Raw genomic sequence first — 12,878 nt, 5'->3', positions numbered from 1 at the left:
AGCGATTCTTCTGCCTCAGCCTCCCGAGTAGCCGGGACTACAGGTATGCGCCACCACACCCAGCTAATTTTTGTATTATTAGTAGAGACGGTTTTACCATATTGGCCAGGCTGGTCTCGAACTTCTGATCTCATGATCCGCCTGCCTCAGCCTCCCAAAGTGCTGGGATTACAGGCATGAGCCACCACGTCTGGCCTAGTGCTTATTTTTCTTTAAGCCAATCAATTAGAGCTGTTTTTATAGACATTACACACAACACATCTATAACAACACAGACAGAATATTCAGCACTTGTTAAGATTTTTCATTTGCCAGTTTCTTAATTGTATTACTGGCTTTAGGGTGAAACCCTTGGAGGAACAGGGCCGGGTAGTATGCGTTTTTTAGGGCCTAATAAGCAGGCACAACTGAAGGCAAAGAGAGATCCCTAAAATTAACGGTGCCATTTTATACTGGATTTTGGGTCCCCAAAAGGAGGAAGATACTATGGGAGAAGACAGTGTAGTGCTTCTACCATGCATTTCATTGCAAGGCAACTCCAAGCTAATTGGCTTAATTTGTAATTAGCCCATCCCTCAAGGGAGTCTCATCTCTTATTGGGGTATGGGGATGTCTCCATATCTTTCAGATGGCGCAGAGCATGCTTCTCTGATTTATAACTACTATTAGCCACCCCTTACAGTGTATTTTCTACACTGTAAGTTATTACACACCAAAGCTCTCCCACAATGTGAAGTAATTTGATACCCCAAAACTCAAAAGCGGTAGATAACACAATACATAACAGTACAGAGCCTTTGATTTTGAGGGAACTATCTGCTTTTAATTTGGAGAGTTTCATGAGGAAAACAGAGGTTTTTTTGATTTGTTTCTTGTTCCCTCCCAACCCCCCCAGAACGGAGTCTGTGATGCCTCCTCTGTTTTTCTCCAGCAGTCCCATGTTACCAGAAGTTATCTTAGGGCCTCTCATGCATGCATTAAGAGTGGTAAGACAAAAAATGGAGAAAAATAATTCAGTCAACTGAGAAGAAAAGAGCCTTTTTCCAGAAAAACAAGATCCAAGAAGAGAAAAACATAAAGGCCTTAAATATACCTATAACCCTGTAACTTGAATATCCACTTTTTTTTTTTTTTTTTTTTTGAGACAGTTTTCACTCTTGTTGCCCAGGCTGGCATGCAGTGGTGCAATCTCAGCTTACCACAGCTCTGCCTCCTGGGTTCAAGCGATTCTCCAGCCTCAGCCTCCCAAGTAGCTGGGATTACAGGCATGCACCACCACACCCGGCTAATTTTGTATTTTTAGTAGAGACAGGGTTTCTCCATGTTGGTCAGGTTGGTCTCAAACTCCCGACCTCAGGTGATCCTCCCATCTCAGCCTCCCAAAGTGCTGGGATTACAGGTGTGAGCCACCATGCCTGAACTTTTAATTAAGCTCAGTGCTCTTTAAGAAAATCCTTTAAAATCCCTTGTTACTCGACTTTAGCCATGCCAAGCAGTTAAGATTTTTGGCTTTTGAACTTTACAAACAGTAACCTCACAGGTGAAACCAATGAGCCTTAATTAGGTTATGACTTAATGCAAGTGTACAAGGTATTTTCAAAGGAGTGATAGGAAGCTTTTGAAACTGTCATTGCAAAATTGTGACTGAGACAGTGAAAGAGATCTGACCCAAACAATTCCATTTTGTTTTCAGCCCCCAAGCTGTCCTTGCCCATCCCTGGTTTAGGCCGAACCAACTTTGGGAGGAGTCGGATTTACAGTCTATAGTCTAAAACAAAGATGATAACAGTATTTCCCAAGATATACTTCCCTCTTGCCTGGGAACAGACCAAGAAACTAGCCACAAGATTAGAAACCATGGCCCAGGAGCCTGCAGCTGGAGGCTACAAGATTTTCACCCTCCCTAAACCGCTCTTAAGGTTAGCACTTAAGATATTTTGTAAACCCTGCCCTTGATGGATCAGCTGGCACCACCCAGATTAACAAACTGGTTTACTTGATTTTGTGGCCCTCACCCAGGAACTGACTTAGCACAAGAAGACAGCCACCATTGTAAAATTGCAGGGACTAAAATAAAGTATTGCCACGTGGCTACAGGTTATGTTCCCAAGGACATGAAACAACATGGAAGCTTGTAGCTAAGTTTGTTACTGACCATTTTGTTGGGGTGGCTCAAACAGCAGGCTTATGGGTTTCTGGGCCTGCATTCTAACCTAAGATACCCTTTCCTCAACAGAACCACACAGAAAGACATGCAAAGCACACCAGATTGTCTACAGCTTAAGACTAACCTCACAAATCCTTTTTCATTAACTATAAATTTACAGAGAATATAAACAATGATCCTTATTATCCCTTTTACTGGTTTGCACAAGGAGAGAGAAGCCAAAAGCCCGACTGGTAAACCTTTTTACCCTCTTGATGTCATATCAGGCTTCTGGGTTCCCTTTGCTGGAAACAGTGAGTTCTTCTTTAAAGGTTCTGCTTGTCCTCTATTTTCAAAGCCTAACTTCCTTGCCTCCTTGCCCCTAGGTACGGTAAACAACCTTCCAGCCATTCCCAATCTGTAACGCACATCCGTTCCCAATCTGTAACAACCCACATCTGTTCCTTATTTGGCACCCTTACTTTTGTAGCCCCCACCCCTGCTCCATTTCAAGTAGCAAATCAGGATCAGCTTAGATTGTGCGGTCCAACCCCAACCAATGGGGATCGGACACAGTAGCAAGGACTGACTGCATTAGGGATAAAAACCCTTCCCTCCTTTGTTCAGTGTGCTCTCACAGTGACCAGAAGAATGAGCAGCACCTTTCTGCAGAAGTAAATTTGCCTTGCTGAGAAATTCTTTGAGTGCTCATTTTCTTTGCGACTCCGAGCTCTTATATCCAACACCTTCCCCCAGCTCAACTCTAAGCCAAGCATTTTAAGATTTGGAAAATTAACTTTTCCCAGGTTAGAAGAACATTACATAAGAGATAGAAGCCATTTTAAACTGCAAATGAAGGAAAAACACCATAGAAAGGAGTTCCAATTGAGGGTCATCAAGAGGTATTGCCTCTTTTCCTATTGGGAATGGTGTTCCCCCTATTTCTTTGCCTTCCCTATTTTTTCTTTTCCCTTCTGGCCTACTATAGGAGATATATTGCTCATCTCCAAAATTTTCTTCTGCTTGCAGAGCTGCCTGTTCTAGCTGCAGTTAGAGTTTGGCTCAGAAGCAGCATAACATTCCTTCATGAGAGGTCAAATACCTGAGTTAAATTTTGGAAGGCTTCTTTTTTTTTTTTTTTTTTCCCTGACTTTAAAATGTTTATTTTTTAAAAAATTAGTTGCTTTTTGGCCAGGCACGGTGGCTCACACCTGTAATCCCAGAACTTTTGGGAGGCTGAGGTGGGTGGATCATGAGGTCAGGAGTTCAAGACCAGCCTGGCCAATATGGTGAAACCCCTTCTCCACCAATAATACAAAAATTTGCCAGGCATGGTGGTGCGTGCTTGTAGTCTCAGCTACTTGGGAGGCTGAGGCAGAAGAATCACTTGAACCCAGGAGGCAGAGGTTGCAGTGAGCTGAGATCATGCCACTGCACTCCAGCCTGGGTGACAGAGTGAGACTTCGTCTCAAAAAAAGAAAAAGATGTGCTTAAATCAAATACTTTTTAGTTCATGTGACTTTAAGAAATAAAAACAGTCTCAAAGATTATTGGCAAAATGCAAGTATCATCAAAATGCAAATAGGTAGTCTACAGCCATGTTTTTAACTGTAACTCCTACATATTTTGTCATTTGCAAACAAATTGTCTTGCTTTGTTCCTTCTCGAAGACAGTTTATAATCAAGCTATATTAAGGACTTTAACAGGTATTCTCAAACACAGGTTTTTAATAGCTTTGAAGATTGTAATATTGAAATAGAAGAAGAATGTATGGGACTCATACAGAACTGACATATTCACAAATATCAAGCAAAATAAGAGTTAACTAAATGGACTGCACTCAGAAAGTTAAAGCAACCCTTTTGACTTTTGCTTGAAATATTGCTGATCCTTGTTTTGATTTTCAGAGTTAAGGAAACTTATTTTGATATATTTACGGCCCTAAATAATTCAGTAAGGGGGCCAGGTGCGGTGGCTCACACCTGTAATCCCAGCACTTTGGGAGGCCGAGGCAGGCAGATCACCTGAGGTCAGGAGTTCAAGACCAGCCTGGCCAAAATGGTGAAACCCCATCTCTACTAAAAATACGAAAATTAGCCAGGCGTAGTGGCTGGCACCTGTAATCCCAGCTACTCGGGAGGCTGAGGCAGGAGAATCACTTGATCCTGGGAGGCAGAGGTTGCAGTGAGCCGAGATTGTGCCATTGCACTCCAGCCTGGGCAACAAGAGCGAAACTCCATCCAGAAAAAAATGAGTAAGGTATACTCCTGTGAACAAAATTTGGAGCATTTTTATTTTTCTCTGTCTGGTTCCTCTAGAATTTGGAAACTCTCTGTGAGTACTCTTAACTTATGGCAATATAATTGTTTGCATCAGTGCAATAAAAATCCATTTTTCTTTGTCAACAGGACACAATTGGAAAAACTGGTTATTTTACCGTGAAAAGTAAAAAGTTCCTCTTCAAAAGTTTCCCTTTTTGTTAAAGAATAAATAATAAATGTTAGAAATAATAGTTTCTTTTAAAAACTAACTTCCGTCAAGCTTCCTTGCTTTTTGCTAGTAACTCTTTGTTAAGCCCTATGTAGCTGTTAAATATAGTAAGGGAATAAGTACATTCTATGTCCTTGTACTTTAACCAAGTTATTTGTTCTGGCTTATAACCTGCTCAGACATGTCTGAAAATGCCCAGGCATTCCCAGCTTACAGCATACATCTCTTCCTTATTTGGAAATGTTATTATTCTCCTAGTTTGTAAACAACCCCCTTCCTTCCTTTGTTCTCCATTGTGCATTTACCTATTTAGGAAAGTTTTAAGTTTTTAGCCAATCAGGATCAGTCTAGATTGTGCGGTCCAGCTCCAGCCAATGGAGATAGGACACTGCAGTAAGGACCCAATGTGTCAGGGATAAAAACCTCTGCTTTTCTTTGTTTGGTATGCTCTCATGACAATCAGGCTTCTTAGAAGCATCTTTTCTGCAGAAAAGTAAAGTTGCCTTGCTGAGAAAATTCATATTCGAGCGCTATTTCCTTTGCAGCACCGAAAATTTATGTCTAACAAGATCAAGGCTTTGACTAAAAGGGTGTGTTTCTCTTTAAGGAATCAAACTTGACATGCAGAGCCAATAAAAGCCCTTGGGGAGCACTGGCCTCATGTCTTGTCTACCCAGTCCCCGCACAGGGTTCCTAACCTGTGGTCAGTAAAGAACGTCACTTTTTTTTTTCAGGTGGTGTCTCGCTCTGTCACCTACGCTGGAGTGCAGTGGCTCCATCGGCTCACTGCAATCTCCACCTCCCAGGTTCAAGGAATTCTCCTGCCTTAGCCTCCCAAGTAGCTGGGATTACAGTTGTGTACCACCACACCCAGCTAATTTTTGTATTTTTAGTAGAGATGAGGGGTTTCACCATGTTGGCCAGGATAGTCTTGATCTCTTCACCTCATGATCTGCCCACCTCGGCCTCCCAAAGTGTTGGGATTATAGGCATGAGCCACCGTGCCAGCCTAAGAATGTCACTTTCTAATAGGCCAGGAGCTCCAAGTTTATCTTGGGACCTCAAGGAGAAGAGGATCACCCAACTTACAGATATTTGAGGATACAATCCCATGGCTGGGCTTGGCTTTAAAGGTCTTATCTGAAATTCCTTGTGGAATAGTGTTTCATCAAAGCCAATCCAAAAGTCCTATGCAGAAATAACCATTCTTGCTGCACTTTATGCAAATAATCAGGCCAAGTATAAGACTAAAGTTTATTCTATGAACAACACACACAGTCCTATAATAATTTGTTTTTACCAAAAATAAGGACTGGAGAGAGAAATTGTTCTCCAAAGCTTATCATACATTTGTCATTAAATCCTAGTCTCATTAATTGTTTTTAAGCTTTTTGCCTACATTTTAAACTAACCCTGCTTATTCCTGTGGACCAAGTGGTGATCACCTGCAGCTTGGAAGAAACAAAAAGGGATGGGTAACGTAAAAATCCAGATCAATATGGTAGTTCTGAGCAATTATCCTGCAAATTCTGCCAGGTAATGAAAGTGAGTAGGGTGCCCATAACCCAGAGGTTTCTTTGTTTGGGAAAATAAAATCAAGGAACTTCATAGACACCCCCCAGAGGGAAATTCTATATCTTGGCAAGTAAAATTTTAGATGAAAATTATTTACTACACCAGGTACTTAAAGATCAAATCAAAACTATTGACAGGCTGACGGAAAAATGGAGGCTTCAGCCCCGGGTGGCTACAATCCCTCTTTAATGCATTCCAGTCTTCTTTATGGAATTGGTTAACCCCTTTATTAAGCCCTCTCTTGCTTATATGTCTTGTATTAATATTTGAACCCTGTATTCTCAATACTATAAATCAAATTGTTTCCTCTCGCCTAGAAGCAATCCAACTCCAAATGCTGCTGCAAACTGAACCATGCATGGACATGCCATTCTTCTGAGGACCCTTATCGACCCCAGGAGGGGCCCTAGCTGCTGTTCCCCATTCGACACCCCTTTTCAGCAGGAAGTAGCCAGAAATAGTTGTTGCCCAAAACCCCCTAACAGCAGTTAGGGTGACCTCTCCACAGGGGAGAATGTTATAGGAGTTATTAATAAATTATTTTAGGCAGAGAGACAGGAAAAGGGGTCCTTGGGAAGTTTTCGTTTCTTTTAAAGCAGCTCCAGAAATGTTTCTTGTCTAGCAGGGAAGACCGGGCTCTTAGAGCCGGGCAGGCAACCTTTGATATGAAAATGCAAGCCATTAGAAACTGAGTCCACCCAAACATGGTGATTCCCACCCTCTTTTTCTTGCCCTTGCCCCGACATGTGCCTGGCAACATGGTCACCCCCACACATCCTCACGTGTGTAAAACATCATGGCGCCCTGCATTTGCATATTAAAAGGCTAGGGTGTGAGGGCCAGATTTTTCAGGGGCTTCGTGAATGACATGCTGATCAAACCAATCCACTGAGCACTATGCAAATCAGACACCACCTCCTCCAGCCTCCTCATATAAGTAGCCACTTTTCTGCCCCACACAGGGTTTCCTCTTGACTTTCCCTCTGTCTCTGTATGGGGGAGCTTCTTCCTTCTTTCTTGCCTATTAAACTTTCTGCTCCTTAAAACAAAACAAAACAAAACCCAATTAAAAAATGGAAAAAGACTTTGAACAGACATTTATCCAAAGAAGATAAACAGTAAGCACATGAAAATATGCTCAACATCATTATTCATTACGGAAATGCAAATCAAACCACAGTGAGATACCACTTCACACCACTAGGATGGCTAGAATAAAAAAGATAGACAATAACTAGTGTTAACAAGGATGTGGAAAATTTGGAACTCTAATACATTGCTGGCAGAAATGTAAAATAGTATAGACACTTTGGGAAACAGTTTAGAAATTCCTCAAAAAGTTAAACATGGCTGGGCACAGTGGCTCATGCCTGTAATCTCAACACTTTGGGAGGCTGCGGTGGGTGGATCACCTGAGGTTGGGAGTTCGAGACCATCCTGGCCAACATGGTGAAACCCCATCTCTACTGAAAATACAAAAATTAGCCGGGCGTGGTGGCATGCACCTGTAGTCCCAGCTACTCAGGAGGCTCAAGCAGAAGAATTGCTTGAACCGGGAGGTGGAGGTTGCAGTGAGCCAAGATCACACCACTGCACTCCAGCCTGGGTGACAGAGCAAGAATCTGTCTCAAAAAAAATGAAAAAAATGTTAAACATATAGTTACCATATGGTCCAACAATTCTATTTCAAAGTATATGCCTAAGATAAATAAAAAATACATGTGTACATGAAACTTGTACATGATGGTTCTCAGCATTATTCATAACAGCCAAAAAGTGGAAACAACCCAAATGTCCAAGAAGTGGTTAAAATAGAAATAAAAATTGCCCGGGCACAGTGGCTCACACCTGTAATCCCAGCACTTTGAGAGGCCGAGGCAGGTGGATCACGAGGTCAGGAGTTCAAGACCAGCCTGACCAACATGGTGCAACCCCATCTCTACTAAAAATACAAAAATTAGCCAGGCGTGGTAGCGTGCGCCTATAATCCCAGCTACTCAGGAGGCTGAGGCAGAAGAATCGGTTGAACCCGGGAGGCAGAGGATGCAGTGAGCTGAGATCTCGCCATTGCACTCCAGCCTGGGCGACAGGGTGAGACTCCATCTCAAAAAAAATAAATAAAATAAAATAAAATAAAATAAAATAAAATAAAATGTTGTATATTCATACAATGCACTGTTATTCAACAATAAAAAGAAGTACTAATACATGCTGCAATGTGAATAAACCTTGAAAATATTATGCTAAGTGAAAGAAGCCACTCATAAAAGACCATAGATTGTATGATTCCACTTATAAGAAATGCCCAGAATAGGCCAAGGCAGGCAAATCACTTGAGCTCAGGAGTTCAAGACCAGCCTGGGCAACACGGTGAAACCCTGACTCTACAAAACGTACAAAAATTAGCCAGACATGGTGGTGTGTGCCCGTAGTCCCAGCTACTGAGGAGGCTGAGGTGGGAGGATTGCTTGAGCCCAGGAGGTAGAAGTTGCAATGAGCCAAGATGACACCACTACACTCCAGCCTGGGTGACAAAGTGAGACCCTGTCTCAAAAAAAAAAAAAAAAAAAAAGAAAAGTAATGCTCGGAATAGGCAAATCTATAGAGACAGAAAGTAGGCTAGCAATTGCTAGGGAAAGAGTGAAAATTTACTGCTAATGGGTATGGGGTTTCTTTTTGGAGTAATGAAAATGTTCTAGGCTGGGCACGGTGGCTCACGCCTGTAATCCCACTACTTTGGGAGGCCGAGGCGGGGGGATCACCAGGTCAGGAGATCGAGACCAGCCTGGCTAACACAGTGAAACCCCATCTCTACTAAAAATACCAAAAATTAGCCAGGTGTGGTGGCGGGCGCCTGTAGTCCCAGCTACTCAGGAGGCTAAGGCAGGAGAATGGCGTGAACCCGGGAGGCGGAGGTTGCAGTGAGCCGAGATCAAATCATTACACTCCAGCCTGGGCAACAGAGCGAGACTCCGTCTCAAAAAAAAAAGAAAAGAAAATGTTCTCAAATTCAATAGTGGTGAAGGTTGCACTCTAAACTGTGCACTTTTAAATGGTTATTCCCCTGCCGCCCCCACTTTATTTTGAGAGAGAGTTTCACTCTTGTTGCCCAGGCTGGAATGCAATGGTGCAATCTTGGCTCACCACAATCTCTGCCTCCTGGGTTCAAGCGATTCTCCTGCCTCAGCCTCCCAAGTAGCTGGGATTACAGGCATGTGCCACCACGCCCGACTAATTTTGTATTTTTAGTAGAGACGGGGTTTCTCCATGTTGGTCAGGCTGGTCTCAAACTCCCAACCTCAGGTGATCCACCTGCCTCAGCCTCCAAAGTGCTGGGATTACAGGAGTAAGCCACCACAACCGGCCTATATTTATGGTATGTTAATCAAATACAGATTTTTTTTTTTTTTTTTTTGAGATGGAGTTTTGCTCTTGTTGCCAGGCTGAAGTGCAGTGGCACAATCTCGGCTCACTGCAACCTCCGCCTTCTGGGTTCAGGTGATTCTCCTGCCTCAGCCTCCCGAGTAGCTGGGATTACAGGCATGCAACACCACACCCAGCTAATTTTATATTTTTAGTAGAGATGGGGTTTCTCCATGTTGGTCAGACTGGTCTCTAACTCCTGACCTCAGGTGATCTGCCCCGCTCGGCTTCCCAAAGTGCCGGGATTACGGGTGTGAGCCACTGCACCCAGCCTTATATATCAATTTTTAAAAAACTTATATACCAATGCTTATAGCAACTCTATAATCACTAAAAAATGGAAAAAATCTAAATATCCTTCAATGAATGAAAGGACAAAAAAATTATGGTACACTTGTATAATGTAATACCACTCAGTAATAAAATGAAGTAAACTATAGATACACATGACAAATTAGATGAATCTCAAAAGTATTATGCTGTGTGAAAAAATCAATCTCAAAATGTTATTTTGTGATTCCATTTATATCGCATTCCTGAAAAGACAAAACTATATTGATGGAGAACAGGTCAGTGGCTCCAGAGATTGGAATACAGTTGTATCCTAATCAACTGGGGAGGCTGTAACCACAAAGGGATAGCATGGGTGAAATTTTGTGGGGTAACGGAACTGTTATGTAACCCGATCATGTATACATATGTTAAAATTCATAAAATGAACACCAAAGGCCAGACACGGTGGCTCCCACCTGTAATCACAGCACTTTGGGAGGCCCAGGAGGGAGGATGGCTTGATGCCAGGAGTTTGAGACCAGCCTGGCCATCATAAGAAGACTTCATTTCTATAAAAATAAAAATAAAAAAGTTAGCCAGGCATGGTACCACTCACCTGTGGTCATAGCTACTCAGGAGGCTCAAGCAGGAGGATTACCTGAGCCCAGGAGTTTGAAGCTGCTGTGAGCTATAATTACACCATTGCACTTGAGCCTGGGTGACAGAGCAAGACCCTTTCTCCAAAAAGAAATAAATTAAAATAAATAATAAAAAATTAAAAGGACACCAAAAATCTATTTTATTTGTATACCAATTTTAAAAATAAAATTAAAAAGATATCCTACTAGATATATTTGTTACTCAGCAGTTGTTATAAAACACTGCACTAGAGATCTTAGGAGGAGGACATGAATTTAAGGATCACTACTTTCAGATAACTGGTTCCAGAAATGTACTTGAATGTAGCAAATTCCTCTACCCAAATCTTTTCCAAATATAATTGACAGTCTTTTGGGTCTTAACATATTTATTACTTTAAAGCAAGTTATTCCTTACTATCTTGAGCTACTGACTTACCATATAAAATAAAGTGAATGAGTTAAAACCTTAGTAGTCATTCAGGCATGCATTCCAGGAGCCAAGACCGGAAAAAAAGACACATCTTAGATAATACATGGGAAATTACCTTGCTATTGTGGAATCCAAAAATGCTAGGTATTTTTATTTGGAATTATTACATTTTCTACGCATTTACGGGCCTAATTTTAATTTTATGGGAGACAGACCTACAGAATTTTACAGCTTGAGAGGACTTAATATTCATCCATTCACTTCATTTTGCAAATGAGGGAACTAAGGCGCATAGGTGCTTTGGAACTTGTCTAAAATCACACAGCTATTTAAGGATATAACAGAAACTAGAATTCCGTTCTCTTCACTCTAATTCTCTTTCCACTTTGCCTCAAATGACTTGTGGAGCCATAATCTAAATAAGTAGCCTGAAATATAACAGGAGATCTCTGTAAAGATCATCTTATATTGGGGATCAACCTTAGAGGCTACACTGTTATTATATCAGGCTCTTCTGCTTCAAGATTATATTCCAGGGACATAACTGAACTTATGGAAATGAAGTGATAAAGGTATTCTACAGTGCTTCATAGGCAAGGGTCAGTGAGCCCACAGCGTTCAGCATCTACAACCTAAGCTAGACATTTTTGGCTGTCTTCAGCATCCGTATAACTGTCTACCTGTCCCTAAATATAAGGTTAAACTGTTATGAATAAGCTCCTTTTTCTTTTTCTTTTTTTGTTTTTTTTGAGACAGAGTTTCACTCTTGTTGCCCAGGCTTGAGTGCAATGGTGCCATCTTGGTTCACTGCAACTTCCACCTCCAGGGTTCAAATGATTCCCCTGCCTCAGCCTCCCAAGTAGCTGGGATTACAGGTGCCCACCACACGCCCAGCTAATTTTTTGCATTTTTAGTAGAGATGGGGTTTCTCCATGTTGGTCAGGCTGGTCTTGAACTCCTGACCTCAGGTGATCCGCCCACCTTGGCCTCCCGAAGTGCTGGGATTACAGGCGTGAGACACTGTGCCCGGCATAAGCTCCTTTTTCTATTGTTTCCAGATACTGGTAATCCACTAAAAAGTTTGATTTTATTTCAACTGCTTATTTTAATGGGAAACAGTGCTTCCTGTTCAGGTCTTATGAAGGGATGGAGGAATCCAGGTGTATTAGTCCATTCTCACGCTGCTATAAGGACATATCTGAGACTAGGTAATTTATAAAAAAAAAAAAAAAAAGAGGTTTAATTGATTCATAGTTCTGCATGGCTGGGGAGGCCTCAGGAAACTTTTAGTCATGGCAGAAGGCACCTCTTCACATGGTGGCAGGAGAGAGAATGAGTGCCAAGTGAAGGGGGAAGCCCTTTATAAAACCATCATATCTCATGAGAACTCACTCACTATCATGAGAACAGGCATGGCAGAAACCACCCCCATGATTCAGTTATCTCCATCTGGTACTGCCCTTGACACATGCGGATCATTACAATTCAAGGTGAGATTTGGGTGGGGACACAGAGCTAAACCATATCACCAAGGTTTCATTAGACGTGCCCAATCACTCTATTAAGCAAGGCAGTAGAGCACAGTGGTTAAGTACACTAGCTTCCAGCATGAGAATCCTCGCTCCACTACTTAATAGTTGTATGCTTGTTACCTCTCTGGGCCTCACTTTCCTCATTTGCCTCTTGCAGTGATTAAATGTGTTAATACATATAAAGCACTCAGCACAGTACCTGGATCATAATAAGCATTCAATAAATGTTACTCCTTTTTATTAAAGCTCTCAGAAGTTCTACATTACTCTAGAAAACAACTCCATATGGGCATATTTACTCACAGATCCCCAGCACCTACAACAATGCCTAACATATGGAAGATGGTTAGTAAGTATTAAATGAATA

At 41.9% G+C, this 12,878-nt stretch overlaps 1 protein-coding gene across 1 annotated transcript in view, besides 3 other annotated features; it reads right to left on the bottom strand.

Moving 5' to 3' along the window:
* TXNRD1 (thioredoxin reductase 1) overlaps positions 1 to 12,878 on the bottom strand; it is a 134,529-nt gene that overhangs the window by 112,379 nt on the left and 9,272 nt on the right. The window lies entirely within an intron of this gene.
* Positions 3,236 to 3,462: a silencer, noted in NCBI's record as "fragment chr12:104628245-104628471 (GRCh37/hg19 assembly coordinates)". NCBI's record gives its function as "represses an EF-1alpha promoter that drives an FKBP-Casp9 reporter gene in an ReSE screen in K562 erythroleukemia cells {active_cell/tissue: K562}" and the evidence as "EXISTENCE:reporter gene assay evidence [ECO:0000049][PMID:32094911]".
* Positions 9,522 to 9,691: an enhancer, noted in NCBI's record as "experimental_23777 CRE fragment used in MPRA reporter constructs". NCBI's record gives its function as "activates a minimal promoter by MPRAs in K562 erythroleukemia cells, with activity observed for both the introgressed and non-introgressed 12:104622101 variant alleles {active_cell/tissue: K562}" and the evidence as "EXISTENCE:reporter gene assay evidence [ECO:0000049][PMID:34662402]".
* Positions 10,985 to 11,154: an enhancer, noted in NCBI's record as "experimental_23775 CRE fragment used in MPRA reporter constructs". NCBI's record gives its function as "activates a minimal promoter by MPRAs in K562 erythroleukemia cells, with activity observed for both the introgressed and non-introgressed 12:104620638 variant alleles {active_cell/tissue: K562}" and the evidence as "EXISTENCE:reporter gene assay evidence [ECO:0000049][PMID:34662402]".

The sequence above is a fragment of the Homo sapiens genome, chromosome 12 (assembly GCF_000001405.40).
Source record: "Homo sapiens chromosome 12, GRCh38.p14 Primary Assembly".
In the NCBI taxonomy this organism is placed as follows: domain Eukaryota; kingdom Metazoa; phylum Chordata; class Mammalia; order Primates; family Hominidae; genus Homo; species Homo sapiens.
This window is presented reverse-complemented; position numbering and strand designations above follow the sequence as displayed.